The sequence below is a fragment of the Homo sapiens genome, chromosome 11 (genome assembly GCF_000001405.40).
Source record: "Homo sapiens chromosome 11, GRCh38.p14 Primary Assembly".
Lineage (NCBI taxonomy): Eukaryota > Metazoa > Chordata > Mammalia > Primates > Hominidae > Homo > Homo sapiens.
In genome coordinates, this window is record NC_000011.10 from 77056644 (window position 1) to 77077467 (window position 20824).

The 20824-nt window shown below is 51.9% G+C and overlaps 1 protein-coding gene and 1 long non-coding RNA gene across 8 annotated transcripts in view, besides 3 other annotated features; one reads left to right on the top strand and one right to left on the bottom strand.

Moving 5' to 3' along the window:
* Positions 1 to 1757: 1757 nt before the first annotated feature.
* Positions 1758 to 7080, bottom strand: LOC105369400 (uncharacterized). Its single transcript, XR_950341.1, has 3 exons — positions 6544 to 7080; positions 2724 to 2887; positions 1758 to 1887 (listed from the first exon to the last, which is right to left on the bottom strand). It is a non-coding gene; the product is annotated as an uncharacterized LOC105369400 (long non-coding RNA).
* Positions 9487 to 9987: an enhancer, noted in NCBI's record as "H3K4me1 hESC enhancer chr11:76777177-76777677 (GRCh37/hg19 assembly coordinates)". NCBI's record gives its function as "activates a minimal SCP1, AML or CMV promoter by ChIP-STARR-seq in naive H9 embryonic stem cells {active_cell/tissue: H9 hESC(naive)}" and the evidence as "EXISTENCE:reporter gene assay evidence [ECO:0000049][PMID:30033119]".
* Positions 9487 to 10533: a biological region, named in NCBI's record as "H3K4me1 hESC enhancer GRCh37_chr11:76777177-76777677".
* Positions 9844 to 10533: a silencer, noted in NCBI's record as "silent region_3796". NCBI's record gives its function as "represses an Ori minimal core promoter by ATAC-STARR-seq in GM12878 lymphoblastoid cells {active_cell/tissue: GM12878}" and the evidence as "EXISTENCE:reporter gene assay evidence [ECO:0000049][PMID:35858748]".
* The window catches only part of CAPN5 (calpain 5), a 59185-nt gene continuing 48688 nt past the window's right edge, over positions 10328 to 20824 (top strand). For 4 of the 7 annotated variants that reach the window (NR_189161.1, NM_001425321.1, NM_004055.5 and 1 more), the window contains exon 1: positions 10328 to 10451. Coding sequence is in view for 2 of the 7 variants with exons in the window: in XM_011545225.1 (XP_011543527.1) it covers positions 16410 to 16494 (85 nt within the window). In the remaining 5 variants the exon portion in view is untranslated. Of the gene's footprint in view, positions 10452 to 14965; positions 15040 to 16347; positions 16495 to 20824 lie in introns of those variants that run through there. The other 3 variants (NM_001425322.1, XM_011545225.1, XM_017018223.3) reach the window with 3 other exon arrangements.

Genomic DNA, 20824 nt, shown 5'->3' on the forward strand with positions numbered 1-20824 from the left:
GACTCCTGCTAGCAGCCCCCACCCAATCCCTGTTCAAATGGGAGCCCAAGGGCCAGATGTGGTGGGGCAGGGGCTCCTTCCCACACTTTGGGGCCCCTCTAGGTGCCAGAGTACTTGAAACCTTCAGGTGAAACCAAAGCTTCCTAGCAAATGGGTTCCTGTCCCCACATCCAAGGGGACACCAGATCTACCCCTCTTCTGGGCCTAAATATCTTAAGGCTCAGCCAGGACCCCTTGCACACCCAATTCAGCCATATGCCCCCCACCCCCACCCTGCCTCCTCGGTGCTAATTTGTAACCTCCCAACAAGATCATTTTGCCCACTGCCCAGATAGAGCCAATTTATCAAGACAAGGGCATTGCAATAGAGAAAGAGGTTAATTCACACAGAGCCAGCTGAACAGAAGACCGGTGTCTTATTATTACTCAAGTCAGTCTCTCTGAAAACTTGGAGAATGGGGTTTTTTAAGAATAATTTGGTGGGTAGGGGGCAAGAGAGTAGGGAGTGATTATTGATTGGGTTAGAGATGAAATCACAGTGAGTCAAAGCCATCCTTTAGCACTGAGTCAGTCTCTGGGTGGGGGCCACAAGACATGATGAGCCAGTTTATCCATTTGGGTGATGCCTGATCCATCGAGTGCAGGGGCTGAAAAATATTTTCAGCACCAGTCTTAGGTTTTACAATAGTGATGTTATCCCTAGGAGTAACTGGGGAGGTGTAGAATCTTGTAGCCTCTGGCTACATGTCTCCTAAACCATAAATTTCTTTTTCTTTTTTTTTTTGAGACAGGGTCTTGCTCTGTTGCCCAGGCTGGAATGCAGTGGCATGATCTTGGCTCACTGCAACCTCCACCTCCTGGGTTCAAGTGATTCTCCTGCCTCAGCCTCCTGAGTAGCTGGGACTACAGGCGTGTGGCAACACGCTTGGGTGCTTTTTGTATTTTTAGCAGAGACAGGGTTACACCATGTTGGCCAGGGTGGTTTCAAACTCATGCCCTCAAGCAGTCCACCTACTTCAGCCATCCAAAGTGCTGGCATTACTGGCAGGAGCCACCGCTCCCAGCTGACTTCTAAACCATAATTTCTAATCTTGTGGCTAATTTATTAGTCCTACAAAGGCAGTCTGGTCCCCAGGCAAAAGGAAGTTTCTTTTGGGAAAGGGCTATTGTTACCTTTGTTTCAAAGTTAAACTATAACTATCTCCCAAAATTAGTTCTTACACCCCAAAATGAACAAGGGTAGCTGGGAGGTTAGAAGCAAGGTGGAGTCAGTTAGGTCAGATCTCTTTTACTGGCATAATTTTCTCACTGTTATAATTTTTGCGAAGGCAGTTTTAGAACTGGGAACCCAGAGCAGAATCAGTCAGAGCTCCATCAGCTGGGGAGTGGGGGCAGATGTACACATATCAGCCTAGGGGCAGGGTGGGGGCAGGTGCCGCTGCCTCTGGGCCCCAGATTGCACAGGGAGGACGCAGGCACCCCTCCTGCCCACCCTTACTCTTGAACCCTGCCAGCTGCTGCTGGCCTGTAGGACGCTGGAGAATCCAGGGACCCTGGGGACCCACAGGCCCCTCTTTGGCAATATGCAGGCAGCAGCCCCAGGTGCCGGCTTGGCTCCAGTTCTCTCCACTGGCTGGGGTCTTGGGCGGGATTTTCTCACTCCCAGGGTCGCGGGGCTACATCAGGAGCTTGCAGGGCCTGGCAGGAGGATTTAGGTGGACACTCCTAGCACTTGGGAAAACAGTCTGGCAGTTCCTCAAAAAGTTAAACATGGAGTTACCCTATGACCCAGGAAGTCCACTCCCAGACATATACCCGAGAGAGCTGAAGACAGATGTCCACTCCAAATCTTGCACATGCAGCCTGGGTTACACAGTGAGACTCCATCTCCACAAAAAAATAAAAATAAAAATTAGCCGGGCATGGGGATGCATGCCTGTAGTCCCAGCTATTAGGGAGGCTGAGGTGTGAGAATCAGTTGAGCCTGAGAAGTCGAGGCTGCAATGAGCCGTGATCACACCACTGCACTCCAGCCTGGGCCACAGAGTGAAAGCTTGTCTCAAAAAAAACCTTGCACATGAATATTCAAAGCATTATTCACAGTAGCCAAAGAGTGGAAAAATCCCAAATGTCTGTCAACAGATGAATGAATAAACAAAATGTGGTATATTCATACAATGGAATATTATCCAGCCCTAAAAAAGAATGAAGTACAGATCCATGCTACAACATAGATGGACCTTGCAAACATTATGCTAAGTGAAAGAAGCTAGACTTTGGAAGGCCAAGGCAGGAGGATCACTTGAGACCAGGAGCTGGAGATGAGCCTAGGCAACAGAGTATGACTCTGTCTCTACAAAAATTAAAAAGTTAGCTGGGCACATTGGCACACACCTGTAGTCCCACCTATTCAGGAGGCTGAGGCAGGAGGATTGCTTGAGCCCAGGAGTTTGAGGCTGCAGTGAGCTGTCATCACGTGACTGCACTCCAACCTGAGCAACAGAGTGAGACCCTGTCCCCCCGCAAAAAAAAAGAAAAGAAAAGAAAGAAAGAAGCCAGACTCAAAAGGCCACATATTGTATGATTTCAGTATATGAAATACCTGCAATAGCCAAATCCATTGAGATAGGATTTGAGGTTGCCAGGGGATAAGGGGATAAGGGGAGGGGGAAATGGAGAATGCTTGGGTATGAGGTTTCTATTGGGGTGGTGAAAATCCCGACCTCTAGATTAGCAGAGCATCCAGTTTCTCTGTATTAGAGCCCTCCATCCAATTATAAAGAAGAATCCAATGGGGAGCGTGCTTCCTCTATCCAATGGACCAGTAGTGTTTCCAAATCTCCACAAGCAGTGCCTTGTGGAGATGTTACTGGAAAGGACTCCCAATCTGAAATTAGATAGTGGTGATGGTTGCACAGTTTTGTAAATATACTAAAAACTACTGCATTTTATACTTTAAAGGATGAATTTTATGGCATGTAAATGATATCTCAATAAGAAAAATTAAAAAGATATAGTCAGAGAAGTGTCACTCCCTGCTCTTCCCTGCCATCCTATCCCATTCAACAGTTCTTTCCACTCCTTTCCACCTGTCCCTGTAGGTAGCCAATCGCACCAGTTTCTGATCTTTCCTTCTTGTACTTCTCTGCATAGATGAGCAGACACCTGTGTATGTTCTTATATTGTCTTCTCTCTCCATGTGTGTTCTGGGATTCACACTATCAATTCAATGTGCTCCTCCTCATTTTCTTTTACAGCTGCTTAATGCTCCATTGCTTGGATATACTACAATTTATTCAACCACTCTCCCACTTGTGGGTATGTAGATTGTTTCCAATATTTGCAATTAAAAAGAACGCGTCACTGAAAAAGGCTTTGCATGTGTATTTCCATACTGCCAGAGGTATGGGTTCTGAGTAGATTCCGAGAAGTGGAGTTGCCTCGGGTTAAAGGGTACATGCGTATGTAATTTTCTTAGGTATTACCAATTCCCCTAGAATTGTACCAAATTGTACCAAATTGTATTCCCACCAGCAACAGCTGTGAGTGACTGTTTCCCTACAACTTGGTGAACAGAATGTGTTGTGATCTTTTTTATTGTCAGTCTGAAAAGTGAAAAATGGCATCTCACTGTAGAGCGATTTGCCTCGCTCTAATTACCAGTGTCCTTGAATATTTTTTTCATAAGTTTGAGGGCCATTTTAATATCTTTTTTGGTTAGTTACCTGTTGGTGCCTTTCCCCTCACTTTACCATTGGATTTGGTGGTTTGTGGTATTTTGTTATAGCAGCCCGAGCTGACTAAGACAGGTGGCTTTGTTTTTTACACTTAGATCCCTAATCCATTCAGTTTATTCTTTTGTTGGATGTGTGCTATGGTTTAGATGTTTGTCCCCTCCGAGGCTCATGTTCAAATGTGATTTCTAGGGTTGGAGTGGGGCCTGATGGGAGGTGTTTGGCTCATGGAGGTGGTCCCTCATGAATAGATTAATGCCTTCCCTGGGGGTGAGTGACTTCTCACTCTCTTAGTTCCTGGGAGAGCTGCTTGTTGAAAGATTCTGGCACCCTCTCCCCTCTCTCTTGCTTCTCCTCTTGCCATGTGATATCTGCTCACATCAGCTCTCCTTCACCTTCCACCATGAGTGGAAGCAGCCTGAGGCCCTCACCAGATGCCCAGTCTTGAACTTTCCAACCATCAGAATTATGGGCCAAATAAACCTTTTTTCTTTATAAATCACCCAGTCTCAGGTATTCCTTTGCAGCAACACAACACAAAATATGACAGTGTAACATATGGATTTAATTTTATCTTTTTCCAAATGGCTCCCAGTTGTCCCGGCATTATCTATTGCAAAGTCTATGTTTAGTGTGTAGCAAAGGCAACATCTCAAATTAGTGGGGTAAAGATGTTTTGGGTCTAATCCTAGATTTTCTAGTCTATTCCAATTTATCTATTCATGTACCAGAACCATCCCAGTTTTAATTACAGAAGCTTTTTTTTAATTTTTTTTTTAATGTCTGGCAAGTCTAGTTTTCTCTCATGGTTTTTCTTTTCCAATGTCTTCTTATCTGTTCTTGCAAGTTTATTTTTCTATGTGAACTTTTGTATCAACATGTCTATCTTCATAAAATACCTTGCTGTTTCTTTTATTGGGATTACATGGAGTTTAACATTAACTTAGGGAGGACTAACACCATTACAATGTTGACTTTTCCTGTGCAAACAAAGGGATATTTTTCTGTTTGTTTTCCTTTCGTGTCTTTCAAAAATGTTCTAAAAATTTCATCATGGCCAGGCGTGATGGCTTACGCCTATAATCCCAGCACTTTGGGAGGCCAAGGTGGGCAGATCACCTGAGTTCAGGGGTTTGAGACCAGCCTGGCCAACATGGTGAAACCCCATCTCTACTAAAAATAAGAAAATTAGCCAGGTGTGGTGATGCACACCTGTAATTCCATCTACTAAGGAGGCTGAGACACAAGAATCACTTGAACCCAGGAGGCGGAAGTGAGCTGAGATTGCGCTACTGCACTCCAGCCTGGCGACAGAGTGAAACTCTGTTTAAAAAAAAAAAAAAAAAAAATCCTCATATAGGTTTATACATAAAGGCCATTATATTTTACATGTTAATTTTGTATCCTGCTACTTCACTGAACTCCTTTACTATTTGAATTAGTTTTATCATTGATTCTCTGGGGTTCTTCAGGTATATTATGCCGTATGTAAATAGAAATAGTTCTCCTTCTTCTTTACCATTCTTAGACCTCCAATTGATTTATCTTGTCTAATTGCATTGGCTAATACATCTAGTACAATGTGGAATAGTAGTGGAGATAATGGCATCCTTGCCATGTTTCTCTTCTTTCTTTCTTTCTCTTTTTTTTTTTTTTTTTTTAGAGTCAAGGTCTGACTCTGTCACCCAGGCTGGAGGTCATGGCATAATCAGGGCTCACTGCAGCCTCAACCTCCTGTGCCCAAGGGATCCTCCCACCTCAGCCTTTTGAGTAGCTGGAGCTACAGGCAAATGCCACCAAACCTGGCTTTTTTTTTTTTTTTTTTTTTGTATTTTGTTTTGTAGAGATGGGGTCTCGTTTTGTCACCTAGGCTGGCCTCAAACTCCTGGCCTCATGCAATCCTCTCATAGCAGTCTCCCAAAGTGTTGGGATTGCAGGCATGAACCACTGTGCCTGGCCCTTGTGATGTTCTTGATCTTAGTGGAAATGCTTCCAGTGTCTCTTGATTAAATAAGATGCTGGTTTATAGGACTATATCTTATCATATTGAGAAAGTATCCCTCAATTCCTATTTCACTGAGTGTTCTGATCATGAATGGGTATTGATCAAATACCCATTTCTTAGCATTTATAGGGAAATAAATGAGCATATTATTCTATCCTTAGGTTCATTCATATGGTACATGCTTGTTGTACATTGAATTGGATCCCATAGAAGGAATTGACCCTGATGATACCTTTATCAGAATTAGGGATACCTTTATCTTGAACTTCTAGCCTCCAGGACTGAGACAATACATTTCTGTGGTTTAAGCCGCCCAGCTTGTCATTATGGCAGCCCTAGGAAACTAAAGCAATGTTATTAATGGATGGATTTTTCTAATATTAAAGCTACTCTGGAGGTTGAGGCAGGAGAATCGCTTGAACCCGGGAGGTGAAGGTTGCATGCAGTGAGCTGAGATCACGCCACTGCACTCCAGCCTTGGTGACAAGAGCAAAACTCTGTCTCAAAAAAAAAAATCAACCTTGCATTCTTGGAATAAATCCCCTTGGTCTGACTGGTTTTTAATAATATCCAGGATAGTAACAAAATATAAGCAGTGTTTCAGAGAAGGATGCACTTGAAAACAACTCAGAGGTCATCTTGTCTCAATATCCCAATTTCCATCATACCTGTTCTGCCCTGGAGTCCCTTGTGAGCTCCCATTTTTGACCACACAGGGGAGCACCATTAGCAACTATTCCCCATTGAAAGTTCTGTGTCTGATGGGCCTTCTCACCCTGCAATCTTGACCTGCCCCCCACTCACCTGAGCTGGCCAGATGAGAATGGAATGAACTGGTTAACAGGGTGATTTTTAATATTCCTCCTAGAGACACCAAGCCTTAGGAGCCTCCACTTTGAGCCACTCCCCATGCCATGGCTTCCTTTAGGGTTCCCACACAATAGCTAGACAATTAGGTCTGTTGGGGTTAAAAAAAACATGATTATCATAAGTTTCACCTGGGAAATCCTATTACACACAGGAGCAGTGAAGATAGGGGTTTTCTAACCTGGGCAGAGAAGATTCTGTCTCTAGGCTCTGGTAAGATAGAGGGTATAGAGTCTGGCAGAACCAGGAAGAGAGGGGTGGATCAGCTCTGGGTGACAAAAGCTCTCCCAGGTAGAGGAGAAAGGGTTGTGCTATGAGGAAATGAGTTCCCAGTTACAGTGGCATGCAAGCAGAGGTGGGACAGCCAGTCAAGGAGCCTGCAGAGGTGACCTTTTCCTGGAGGAGATAGGAAGAGGGGAGGGAAAGGCCACAAGAGTGGAGTCAGACAGGGTAGGTTTGGATTCCAGTTACTAATTGTGTGACCTGGGGCATCTCCCTGAGGCTTGGTTCTGTCATCTGGAAAATGGACTAATCAGAGCTGCTGCAGAGGGCGGTTGTGAGAAATGGGAAGTGCACCTCCACATCAGGCCCTGCGATGGTACCATTAGATGACTCAGTTTACAAAAACTGACCAGCAGGATCCCGGGCCAGAGCATCATCAAAGTCCCACCTTTTCCCCAACCTTGTTGGGCAGATCTGGCTCTTCCTGGCCTATCTTGGGGACCTCTCTCTCCCCCAAGAGCAGGGCCAATGCTCTCTCCACCCGGCCACCAGGGTGGGTGTCCTGGGCAGGTCACTCTCGCTAGGCCTCTTTCCTCACCTGTCGGAGAAGGTGGAGCTGCTGGAGATGATTAAAGGACTGGGCCCTTCCAGTGCTAACCTGCTAGGGTGGCTGGGCTTCTCACTGGCCATGAGTGCATGTCTCTGCTTCTGGGACTCAATGTCTTCACAAAATGAGGGGCTGGGCCAGATGACAATAACACCAGCTAGCACATGCTGAGCTCTTACTCCAAGCAAAGGGCAACCATGAGGGCTCCGTATGTCCCGGCCCATTTAATCCCACAACAACTCCATGGTGCGACTGTTGCTATGCTGGCTTTATAGGAGAGGATACTGGCACAGTGAGGTTGGGTCACTTGTCTGAGGTCACTCAGCTAATATGAGCCCAGGCAGAGCCCATGCTTGCAACTACTGCACAATACCCTCTTGTGGCTCCAATGCTTTGAGATACAGAAGGGGGTCTGAGCATCCTCTGAACCCCACTGTTTTGTGGGCTGAGGCAAACATGCCTTCTCAGACACAACCCCAGCCCCACCTTGGAACACATGGGAGTTGCCCAGCCCAGAGACAATGCTGCCCAGTATCCTACACAACCGGGCCTTTATCGATCCCCGTGACTTGCCTGTACCTGGTCATCACACACTCCAGCTAGAAGCCCATTTTACAGACAGGGAAAAGGATAGAGGACCTGCCCAGATCACACAGCCAGTAACTGGCAGAGTGAGGACTGGAGCCCAGATCTACTTGGCTCTACCAAGTGCTGCTGTCTTCCTGACAATGACCCTTGGCCTCTGCCCTCCAGGAACTTTGGCCTTGCAGGGGAAACCTTGGCCCCACCAGCAACTCTGAGAGACGCAGCCTGAGAAGGGCCATAGGTGAGGGGTGGATGCTGAGCAAGGGAGCTTTGGGATGCTGCAGCACAGGGAGGAAGGAAGAGTCCTTCAGACGGCCACAGATCAGCACGGGCATGGTTTCAGGTGGGGAGAGTAGAGCCCCTGAAGTGACTTTTGAAGGGCTGGTGAAGCTGCTGCTCCCAGTACAGGGCATGGAATAAGGTTAGGGGAGATGGGGGAGTCAGATGGGGTGCAGTCTTAGAACACTCTTCTATGGGTGGCGGGTCTCAGCTGCATATGTGAAAGTCTTCTTTGGTTGGATAGGAGGCTCCTGAGGGGGCTGGGGCTACTCTTAAGGGAGAAGCATCTGGGTGGCCTGGGACAGAGGCAGGGAGGTTGGGGAGAAGCTAGAGAAGTCCAGGTGACTGAGAGTGAGGTGAGGCAGAGACTCCTCTTAGTGGAAATAAAGGAAAATCATGAGTCTTTTCAGGGGGAATTTCAGGCAGCTAGCTAGCTTTGAGAAGTAAATGAGCACCTTGACAAGCAAGAAGGTAATTGAAGCTTCAAACAAGGGCCACCCAAATAAGTTAGAGCCACAAGATGTCTGGTTCCCTATAGAAACTAAAGATAACATCTTGACCTATGTCCCTGAATTGTTTTTCACAGCTGTCACTTAGGCCTCAGATAAGGGGAAACTGAGGGCTGTTCTTTAAATTTCTTCCCAAGGGTTCTGTAAAGAGTCACACCCATAAGCCAATGCTTAACTCTCCTATCTGTGGACCCCAGGTTTTTAGACAGTCTTGCTTCCTAAGCCAATTGCAAATCACAGAATCTCTGAATCCACCTATGACCCTGCCTCAAAATGTCTCACCTTTTTGGGCCAAGCCAATGTATAGCTCCAGAGTATTTATTTATGACTTTGCCTATAACCTCTGTCTCCCCACCTTTAAAAAGCCTTACATGTAAACCATTGGGGAGTACGGGTCTTAAGCATTAGCCGACCTATTCTCCTTGCTTGGCACCCTGCAATAAATGCCTCCCTTTCTGCCGCTGCAAATCCTGGTGTCAGTGTTTGGCTTTGCTGCACTGGGTGGGCGGACCCAAGTTTGTTTCGGTAACACAAGAGGTTGACGAAATCATTAACTGAGACTTCGAAACAAATTGGAGGCGGAGAATGAACGGGCCTGAGACGCTCCACCAGCGAGTGGGCCGATGGGCTCATCAGATCAGATGGGCGTCTGTCCTGCTGCCTCAGGGCGGGGGGTGGTGGCACCCCTGAGCTCCTACTGTAGGCAAGAACTAGTCACTCCTAAACCTTCTCTATCGGATTCCCCAAGCGGCCTGGGGTGGGTAGAGATTATAGTCCCCGTTTTACAGATCAGGAAATGCAGGCTCCGTGCCATCCCAGGGCATTCCGGTAGCCAGTCACGGACAGAGAGTCAAACATGAGCCCGAGCCCGGGAGCCCATGGCAGCACGGGATTAAGTCCTCAACACGGGCCGGGGTCAGTTTTCCCATCTGACAGAGGCCCTCTGCTGCTCACAGGGGCCTGGGCTCCCACTTCTCCATCCGAACACTTGGGATGGATGTGAAGGTGGAGCCCGGAAAGGGAGGGGCGCCGCCCACCAAGTCCTGGTTCTGGCAGGCACCCTGGCCCTTGCGGGTCCTCGGTACTACACGCCGGCCCCAAGTCAGCCGCGGCCCCGGCCCGCCCTGTGGGGGCTGAACCCCAGCCCCGGCCCGATCCCTCACGGTGCAGCCAGCCCTTGGGAGGCTGCCCATGGGGATGCGCACCAACCGCAGACAGATAGGCTGGGAAGGAGAGAGAACGAGGGCCCGACCGAGCCGGTAGAGGCGGTGGGTGCCGCTAGGGGCCCCAAGTCCGCGTTCAACACAGGGGCTGGAATGAGACCGCTCCTCTGAGCGGCCGCCCACCGCACCAGTGCGCATGGGCGCACCCGGCCACCGGGCCGCCCACCCCGCCCCACGGGAGACCACGCCTCCGGCTCGCAACGGGCAAATGGGCGGAGGCCGCGGGCGGGGCGGGGCGGAGCCGGGCCCAGCTGGCCGAACCCGGGGAATGCGAGCGCCAGCCCCCGCCGCAGGCCAGTCCCAGCTGGATCTCCGGCCAGAGCCCGAGGCTGCTGCGCCGGGCGGCTGCAGCCTCCGCTCCAGCGCCCGCGCCGTGCCCTGCATCCCGGGAGCCCGGCTGGACCCGCGGCGGCTCGGCCGGTAGGAGGCGGGCGGAGGGAGGCGTGTGCTTCTGTGTGTGTGTGTGTGTGTGTTTCGGGGGGGTGTGTGCGGGTGCAGCGCGGGCCAGTGATTGCTCCGGGACCACGAATCAGTGGAGGGGGCTGCACCTCCCGCGGGCCCGGGGGGAAAGGAAGTGAGCGCTGGCTGGGGGGCGGGGTCCTGGAGCATCCGCCTGGGCCCCCTCGGCTCGTCCCCACCCCCACCCCCGGCGAGGAGTCTTTTTTTCACCTCCCTCTGGGTGTCTCCGAGTCGTTTTCCTAGTGCGGACGCGCTGGAAGCGCCTAACACCCGGGGCTAGACTGTCACTTCCTCTCATCTTCCTTACAGTTCCCCCCTTCTCTTCCCTGCTTAACCCCCCTTTCATCCCTGCAATCCACCAACCCCTTCTGGGTGCTCCACCACCCAGGCCTGGGGAAGGGGCAGGGCCGAGGCTCCTACTGCCCCAGCCTATCCGCTTCTTGGCACTACTCCCCAGGTTGAAAGGGGGCTTTTCTCCTTGACTGCAGGGCGGGCGCACGTGTGTGTGTGTGTGTGTGTGTGTGTGTGTGTGTGTGTTGCGGGAGTGTGGGGGAGTGGTCTGGGAGGGAATGGATCTTTGTTTCTCAGACCTCAGAGTTCCCACCTCTGTTCCTTTGCGTTGGGGGTCTCGGAAGACTGGCCTAGGGGACCAGAGGCGAAATAGGACAAAAGATCATTAACAGGTGCGACGTTCTCTCTCCCAGTCATTTCATGTGGTGGGATTCACCCCCAAGTTCCATACAGATCAGAAGAGTGGGGCACAGAGAAGCGAAGTCAGCTGCCCTCTCAGGATTGCTGAGCCAGAATTTGAACCCGGGTCCGCCTGGCTCTCATCCCAGAATCTTCTCCCTACACCTGTGGTTTAGAGAGAAAAGTACTGAGGGCGACTATCCCAGGACTCAGGGGAAAGAGAGATCTGGGCAGACTTCTTGGAAGAGAGGGGCTTACGGGTGAGGCTCAGCCAACTCAATGAGTCTGAGGCCTGCTGGGGGAACCACTGTGTTTTGCAAGGATTGACACCTCCCAGGGTCCTCGGGCTGGTCCTTGCTCCTGTCCCCAGGGTCTGGGGGTGGGGTGGTGTGGCTGCCTTTGCCTCCTGGGCAGGGTATGGTGGGCCCAGCTGCTGCTGCAGGCCAGGTCAGGCTAGTTGCCAGCACACAGAGGTGCTCAGGCGGGGTCTTTGCCCTGAGGAGCCTCTCTTCTGACAAGACAGGCAGTGGGTCCACAGATAAGGCCCTGTCCAGAGTTGTACCCAGTGCTGGGAGCACAAGACAGGGACTGATGGGTGCCCGGGAGCTGGGGATGAGTTCACTTGCAGATTCGTTGGGGCTGGGTCTTGAAATCCACCAAGCAGAAAAGAAAAGGCAGGTCATTGCAGCCCCAAGGAACAGCATGAGTAAAGGCCTGGCAGTGTGAAAATGAATGCTGGTGGGGTGGATTGCGGATTAGATAGGTCAGATGTGTGTCCAAGAAGGGCCACCTTTGGCTGCAGTAGTGGGTGGGCTTCCACTGAGGGCTATAAGGAGGAGGCCAAAGCAGGGAGAGGGCCCTCCCTTCTGCTCTCCTCTGCTCCCCACCCAGGGCTAGGCTTGGCAGGGGAGGAGGGACCCTGATAAAGTTTCCCAGAGCAGGGGTGCTGGGGGCAGGAGGTGCCCAGGGGCTAAGGGGCTACACAGGGTCCCAGTGCTGGGGGAAGGTAGGTGGGGCTGCCTCTGTGAGATGGGGACCACCATTGGGGGTGGAGCAGGTTGGGAGTAAGTTGACTGTTGGACAGGGTGGTTGTGAGATGCCTGTGGGTTTTTGTGGGTGACATCTGGGACACTGCTCCCAGGCCAGCACTGTCTCTGTCTGCTTCTGCGCCTGCTTTCCTGGCAGGCTGTCAGATCAGCCCTGGAGTCCTGGTCCCCAAACAGGAGGCCTCCTGCGCCCTCAGTGGGCACCCTCTCCTACCTGCAGGGCCTAAATCATGTGTCTGTTCTTTCTCTTGGCTGAGACCATCTCTGTACCTTCCTACTTGCCTATGACCTTGAGGCGGAGAACTTCCCTTTTCTGTCTCAGTTTTCTCATGTGCGGAATGGGGATAAATGCTGCCTATTCACAGGGACTCGGGGGATGATGAAGATGAACTTAGATCATGTCACTGAACGCATCTTTCTAAGTACATGGTGTCTGGTAGCCATTGTTACTAATAGCAGCTGGCAATCAGCATCACTTAGTTCCCTCCCTGGGGATGAGGGGCTGACTTTGGGAGAAGAAGGGTGGAAGGAAACAGTCCTCTCCTATTGAAACGGAAGCCTCTCTTGGCTTTAGTGGGTGAAGGGGACTTACGGGAGTGATCTGTATCTGCCTGACCAAGTCCCCTGGCTTCCCCCAAAAGCTTCTAGCCCTTGAGGAGAGGCAAGGGCTGAGCAGCCGGGAGCACCCTAGAGTACAGCATGTAAAGGTTGAACAGAAAGCCCAGCAGTGGGCCCTGGGCTCCCCCAGCTGCAAAGAGCAGGGTCTGCAACACCCCCCACCCCTCCCCAGCAGCCTCCTGGGCAGCTGGCAGCAGTCTCTCTGCAGCTGGGCTTTTCACCCGTTCTGTCTCTGTCCCCATCTATTCAAGTGTTTTGAGTGCCTTCAGAGCCCCTCCCAGGCACCTCTCAAGTGCCCTCAGAGAACTCTTCTGCCTCTCCATCCCTGGTCCCCGCTCAAAACTTTCCTGGGCTCACCGTGGTCCTGAGGCTTGGCCTTCCTGCTGCCCACCTCTGAGCCCTCCTCCAGGCTGGTGGAGACACCCTGGGATTGCCTTGCTTTAGTGCAGGCAGAGCTGCTCACTTGCCTATGAACTCAGGCTTTGCCTTTCCCTGCTCACCCAAGGCAAAGGGGCCAGGTCCCTTTGCGGTTGGAATCTGGATGTCTTAGGAAGCCAGCCTCAGGCTTGGATGGGGAAGCTGTGGATGATGTGTGCTTACCCGCAAGGGCCTGGGTTACTGCTCCCCATTCTGGTTGTTTGCACGTGTGCTTCCAGGGACCCAAGTTTTCCCAGGGATAGGGGTCTGGGTGGGCAACAGCTGAGGCTGCGGTGGCCTGTGGGTGTGTGCTGTGGTTTTCTCCCACAGTGGGCATGCAAGAGAAGGGGCTGGTGACCAGAGCACATCAAAGCCCATCCACTGGTCCCCAGCTGCCCTTCACTGTCAGGATGTGCCCCCGGGGATGGTGGGCAGAAGGCTGGGAGCCCATTGGCTTGACCCACCTGCCCTGCCCAGCCAGCCCCTGCTCAGCCAGTGCCCCCTGCTGCTGTGTAACTTCTGCCAGTTGGAGTGAGGTGGGACCCAAGTGATTTGTTACTCATAGCAGGAACTAAGAAACTGATGTGGGGTGACTGTTGTACAGCGGAGCAACTCAAGGTGTAAGAACTTCATTTCCCTCATGGGCTTCTCCGGGCAGGAGAGGCGGGTGGGACCCCATGACACCCCGGCTCCCATTAGCTATTCTTCAGGAACAGCATCGTTCAAGAGCATATTCCTTTCCTATCACTGTTGCGACAAATTGCCACACTTGGTGGCTGAAAACAACACAGATTTATGCTCTTACAGTTCCGGAGATGAGAAGTCCCCCATGAGTCTAATGGAGCTAAAATCCAGGCTGGCTTCTTCTGTGGGATCTAGGGGAGAGTCCATTCCCTGTCTCTTCCAGCCTCCGGTGGCTGCTGGCATTCCTTATGGCAACATTGCCCCAGTCTCTGCTTCTGTCTCATTGCTCTTTCCTCCTCTGCAGGCAGATCCTCTCCACCTCCCTCTTATAGGGACACTTGTGATTACATTCAGGGCCCACCCAGATAAGCCAAGATCGTCTCCCTGTCTCAAAATCCTTAATCGCATCTTCAGAGTCCCTTGTGCCATACAAGGTGTCATTCACAGGTTCTAGGGATTCGGTTGGGAGTATCTTTGGGGCCGTCATTCAGCCCACCCCAGGAGCTGACAGCAGCGTCACTGCAGGCACCATTCCCAGCTCCCGCCCCCACCCCAGTGCCCACCGAGGCTGGCTTCCCCAGTCACAGTCCTGTTTCCCCCAGGAGGTCACTCACAATGTCTGTCTCCCCTCCAGCCTGGGAGCCTTGGAGGCTGGGCGCTGCTGTAGCCCTGGCCCCAGTGTGCAGCCTGAGCCCCTGGTAGCCAGAGTTCAGGGATGTTTGGAAGAAGGGCATCCCTGGCACAGCCGCATGGGTGGTCCCCAATGTCTGGACCCTGCCTGCCTTTGACAGCGTGCTGGGCCTTTCAGGGTGGAGTGCAGCTCATTTCAGACATTCACGCAATAAGCCCAGTGCTTTGCAGGGTCATTTGATGCTCACCATCACCCTACAAGGGGGTGGGGCTGGGGAGTCCCGCTTTACAGGTGAGAATACCAAGGCCTATTACGGCCAAGTCCTGTCTGGTATGTGGGGTCAGGTGAACAGGCTGGGCCAGTAGAGCAGAAAATACCTTTATTTTACAGATGAGAATTCTGAAGCACAAAGAGGTTAACTGCTTTGCACCTCGCTGGCCTCAGTCTCCCCATCTGAGGACGGGTATGTGGACAGGATGTTGCCCAGCCTGACATCTTGGGGCTCTGGTTCACCCTCTGCCTGGGTATGGGGAGCAGGCGCTGGCATTCTGGGTTGCCATGGCCAGGAATAGGAAGTGGCTTGGAGCAGTGCAGTGGGCCTGGAAGTGCTGCTTGCCCAGAGACATGGTCTGCCATTGCAGGAGGGGGTAAGCCCTCTGGCGCCTCAGGAAGAACCCTAGCCAAATCCCAGAGCCCCGGCCTGCCTGCTGCGGACCTGCCCCTGTGTGAGTCTCCTTTCCCTCCTCATGGCCAAGGCCACGCCATACTGGGCCCCGCTTCTCTCAGGGGCCTGCCTATAGCCTGGCCTCCCTGCCTGCATCCTGGGCCTCCTTTCCCGTTGACCTTCTCATACATCATCACACCCCATCTCATGCCTGAGTTCTTAGCCTGGCTTTCAGGGCCAGCCACAACCTGGCTGTGGCAATATTTCTCTACTTCCTCTTCCCTCTCCCCTGCACCCTGTCCTCCAGACTTGCCTGAATGATTTCTTCCTCCAGAATAATCTTTCCTCCCCCAAACCTTCCACCTCCTCCATCTCTTGAAATCACAATCTACCCTTTGAGATCCCGTTTTGTTGCTACTTCCTCCATGCAGCCGTCCCTGCCTGGTGTGAACGAATCACTTCCTTTGAGAGCAGATCTCGCTGCCTTGTACTGAGGCCTCTGCCTCTCGCCTTCACCAGGCTGACCTCTAGGGCAGATTCCCATCTGACTCCTCACTGCCCCTTGGTCAGGCACAGGGAAGGTGTGCAAGTGAAGTTGGAATGGGGGACACACCTGAGCAGGACACCCAGGGCTGGAGAGTGGGTCACTGCCCGAGGGAGGGGTGGTGGGCCAGGCTGAGCAGGACTTTGACATGGGACAGGTTCGTGCCTCTGCCCTGAATGTCCTCTTTCCCCTCAGAGCCTCTGTCTCCCATTTGTGTAATGAGAACAGCACAACTCATTTCTGAGGTTGTGCAGGAGCTTGTGCTGAGGAATGGCGCACTTCAGTTTCCCAAAGTGAGAGATGGGCACTGTCTCACCAGTCTTTAAACCTTGAGTCTTGGAGATAGTCTAGGGACTTGAGTCTAGGACTGCCTGTACAGGAAGTGGAGAAAAGGGCTGTCCTGGTGATAAACCCGCCAGATTGAAAAATAGTGTGTAGTGTTCCCCTCCCTGCCACTCAATCACGAGAGCCTGTGGCCAGAGAGGGCAGGAGCTTTCCTGGGCTCACACAGCACAGTGAGGCAGAGGTGGCTTCAGTGACCTGATCAAGTCCCATTTTGTTAGGTTGTCTCTCCGGTGGGGAGTGAGCGAGCACACAGCCCCCACCCCACCCCGGGTGAGAGAGAATGTCCTGCACAGGGACGCCCAGCTGTATCTACCTGCTGTCAGCACTTTCTCTGCAGGACCTGGTGCTGGACTGGGAGCCCCGAGGTAGGGTGGCCACCGCACTGGGTTGCCTGGGACTGTGGGTTTCCTGGATGTGGTTCTTTCAGTGTTAAAACTGTGGTGAGCTGCTCACCCGAGGCTTGGCCTGGGGCTGCCCCCTGCCCAACAGTCTCCACCTCCACAAGTGTGGCCAGGTCCTTGACTTCTTCCTGTCCTGCCCAAGGCCTGCAGGAACCCCTGACCTGGAACACCCTTTCAGAAGCTCCTCTCCCTTGGCCGCTTGCTTACAGATGCTGCTTACAACAGCGGCTCCTGCTGTCCCTACACTCCCTCCTGCTCACAGCACCCTGGGCGGGACCCAATTGCCAGATGAAGAACAGCTGCAGGGTCAGGCCTCTGACTCAGTCAGAGACACACAGAGCCAGGCCTGCAGGCCAGCACAGCCCTCACATGCTGTGCTGTGAGGCACCAGGGGACATCACGGCTGCAGGACCACCATTCCCCCAGGACCAGCCAGAGACCCTGTTCCCCATACACACATGGCCCTGCCCGCAAGGCCCTCTGTGTCTCCTAGCAGGAGAGCGGCCTGGTGGGATTTATGTTAGAAAGATCACTCAGCAGCCTGGTGGAGAATGGATTGGACACAGAAACGATAAGGGAAGGAGAGGGGAGGGGAGGAAATAGACAGGATTTCCCAGCCCTGGTGCCAGCTCGCCTGGTGGTGGCTGGAGTGACTCACTGGGCCTGGTTGCCTTGGCTCTGGCGCCAGAACCCAGGAGCCCAGAGCTCTGGGTGGCCTAGGGGCTGGGAGCCTGAGGTGGCTCTGAGCCTGGCTCTCCCTCCACCGCACATTCTCCCTCCCCACCCTGCCATCCATTCCTCAGCACACAGTGCGTCAGAGAGACAGGGGCCTGGGAGGTCACAGTACACCCACGAAAGGACAAAGAGACATGCTTTAAGCATCTTATTAGATGGTGACTTAGGGAGCAGATGGAGGATGGGGTATGGGATAGAAGGGGATAAATACATTAACAAAATCAAAAACACAAATAACCGGGCAGCCACCAAATGGAGTTTCTGCCCTTTCTAGTCCCCTCTGGCTTCTGGCCTTCCCTGCAATGGCTCAAGCCAGGGCTCTTCCAGTCCTGGGTCACTGCATCAGCATCTGACCTTTAGTCTTGCCCCTGGCTCCCCTGTGCCCCAGTAAATGCTGATGCCCCTCTGCCTGGCATCCCCAGCCCTGCAGAGCTGGTTCTGCCAGCTTCCCCCCAGGCTCCGCCCACCCAGTGCCCTCCCACCTTTTCCCTCTCCCTGTGCCACATTGTACCCTGCTGTGCCCTTGCTGCTTCTGGCCTATCCTTCTGGCCCTGCTCGGGCTCCATCTCGGAAGGCCACCACCATTCACCCCCAGCCCCCTCCTCATCAGCCAGCTCAGCGCCAGCCCAAATCGGGCACCAGCAAAGATGTGCAAGTTGGAGTTGACTGTGTCCCCTAAATGATGAAGCCCCAGCTGTTCAGCCCTCCCCTGTTCATATGGCAAAAGGTGGTGGTGGGGGGTGTCTTCCCTTAAGAGGGGAGAAGAGGTTGAGGAAGGGAGGTAGGGGAAAGGGGGCTTTGATTGGCAGGGAATGGGTGAGGGTGTCACTGGCTCCTTCGGCCGGCACTGGGTGATACTCACTCTGCCAGGCCTGTGCTTTGCGCTGGGCACCACTGTGGGGTACGGGGCAGTGGAGCACAGGAGAAGGACCCTCAGCAGGCATTCCTGCATTCTCCCTTCACCCCCACCAGTGGCTGGCCACCAGGAAGAGCTGAGGCTCTCTCCCACTCGGCCCTGGAACCCAGCCCCTCCGCATCCACACGTGAGACTGCCAGTCCAAGTCCTGTGGCCGTTCTTCTGGTCTTTCTGGTTTAGTCTTGTCCTTTTCTAGTCCGTTTCCCATGTGGCAGCCACATGGGGCTCCGCAAGACAGCCGTGACCAAGTCCCTCCGCTGCTCAGCACCCTTCCACACTCCCCATCACCTTAGGATGAAGCCACACGCTGCACATGGCATCCCGGGGCCTCTGGCGGGATCCTCTGCAGCCTCATCCATGATCCCTGCCCCACACCCCTCCCCTCCCCTTTTTTTCTGAGCACCATGCCACCCTCCTCAGGGCTGAAAACATCCTCCTAGGGATGGTCTCTGGCTGGCATCTCCCCTTCTCAGGTGCAGAGGAAACCTTGCAGGTGTGTGCTTGGTTGGGGTGTCAGGGTGCCACACACCTGTAGGACCTTCTTGTGGACTGCTCCAAGTGTTGAGACACTCTTGAGTGTCAAGTCCGCAAGCGTCCTGAGAGCTAGAGGAGGAGGCTGGGACCAGAGAATTGGAGGCTTGCAGAAGGTCACACAGCCTGCGTGTGACAAAGGCTAGTGCTCGGACCCAGCCTGGGGCACTTTCCCACTCCGCCTCCCTTCCCTTTAGGTCAGCCCACCTAGGTATGTGGTGTCCAGCTGGACAGGGCTACAGCTGTGAAGGGCCCGGATCTGCTGGGACCTGGGTTACCACATTCAGCCAGCCCTTCCTCCCAGGGCCACTGTGCTGGCTTTTTTTGTTTACCTTTTTATTGAAGCATATGTAACTGATCTACAGACAGGTGCATAGGTCTTAAGTGTAGAGCTCAGTGGATTTGCACAGGGACCACACCCATGGAACCACCACCCAGGTCAAGAAGTAGTTTTACCGGAACCCCACAAGCTCTCTCACACCCCTTCCAGTCACTACCCCCAAGATAGCCAAGTCCTGCTTTCTGTTCACTGTAGATGAGTTATGCAGGCTTTGCTTGTCTTAAAAAAATGGATTTTTTAAATAGATAAAAATTGTATATGTTTATCATGTACAATGTAATATTTTGAAATGTGTATACATTGTGGAATGGCTAAATCGAGTTAATTATCACACGCATTACCTCACATACTTTTTTGTCCTGAGAACACTCAAAATCTACTCTCGGCCGGGCGCAGTAGCTCATGCCTGGAATCCCAGCACTTTGGGAGGCCAAGGCAGGCAGATCACTGGAGATCAGGAGCTTGAGACCAGCCTGGCCAACATGGTGAAACCCCATCTCTACTAAAAATACAAAAATTATCTGAGACTAGTGGCGGTCACCTGTAATCCCAGGGAGGCTGAGGCAGGAGAATCGCTTGAATCCATTAGACGGAGGTTGCTGTGAGCCGAGATCACGCTACTGCGCTCCAGCCTGGGCAACAGAGTGAGACTCCAAAAAAAGAAAAGTCTACTTCTAGCAATCTTCAAGAGTATAATCTATTGTTATTAACTATTGTCACCATGTTACAATCAATCTCTTGAACTTATAGATCTCTTGAACTTATTCCTCTTATCTAACTGAAATTTTGTGTCCTTTGACTGACATCTCTGCAACCTCCCTCCCCACCCTCACCCCTCAGTTCCTGTTAACCACCATTTTACCTTCTGCTTCTATGAGTTCAACTTTTAAAAAATTCCACATATGAGTAAGATCATGTGTTATTTGTCTTTCTGTGTCTGGCTTATTTCACTTAGTATATTGCCTTCCTCGTTTATCCATGTTGTCACAAGTGATGAGATTTCCTTCTTTTCATGGCTGAATTGTATTACATTGTATGTATATACCATATTTTCTTTACCCATTCATCCATTGATGGACTCTTAAGTTAATTCCATATCTTGGCTACTGTGAATAGTGCTGCAGTGAACATGGGAGTGCAGATATGTTTTCAACATACTGACTTCATTTCCTTTGGATTTATACCCAGTAGTGGGATTGCTGGATCATATGGTAGTTTTATTTTTAATTTTTTGAGAAACCTCTATACTGTTTTCCATAATGGCTGTACTAATTTACATTCCCACCAACAGCGTACAAGGGTTTCCTTTTCTCCATATCCTCGCCCACACTTATCTTTTGTCTTTTTTATAAAAGACGTATCTTTTGTAAAAAGATTTAAGTCAGGCACAGTGGCTCATGCCTGTAATCCCAGCACTTTGGGAGGCCAAGGCAGGCGGATCACCTGAGGTCAGGAGTTTGAGACCAGCCTGGCCAACATGGCGAAACCCCGTCTCTACTAAAAATATGAAAATTAGCCAGGCATGGTGGCGCATGCCTGTAGTCCCAGCTACTTGGGATGCTGAGGCAGGAGAATGGCTTGAACCTGGGAAAGGGAGGTTGCAGTGAGCCGAGATCATGCCATTGCACTTGAGCCTGGGCGACAGAGCGAGACTCTGTATCAAAAAAAAAGATTTTAAAAAAGTCTTTTTTTATAAAAGACATATCTTTTGTCTTTTTTTAATAAGATATCACACTTTTGTCTTTTTTATAAAAGCCCAAAGGTGGGAGGTG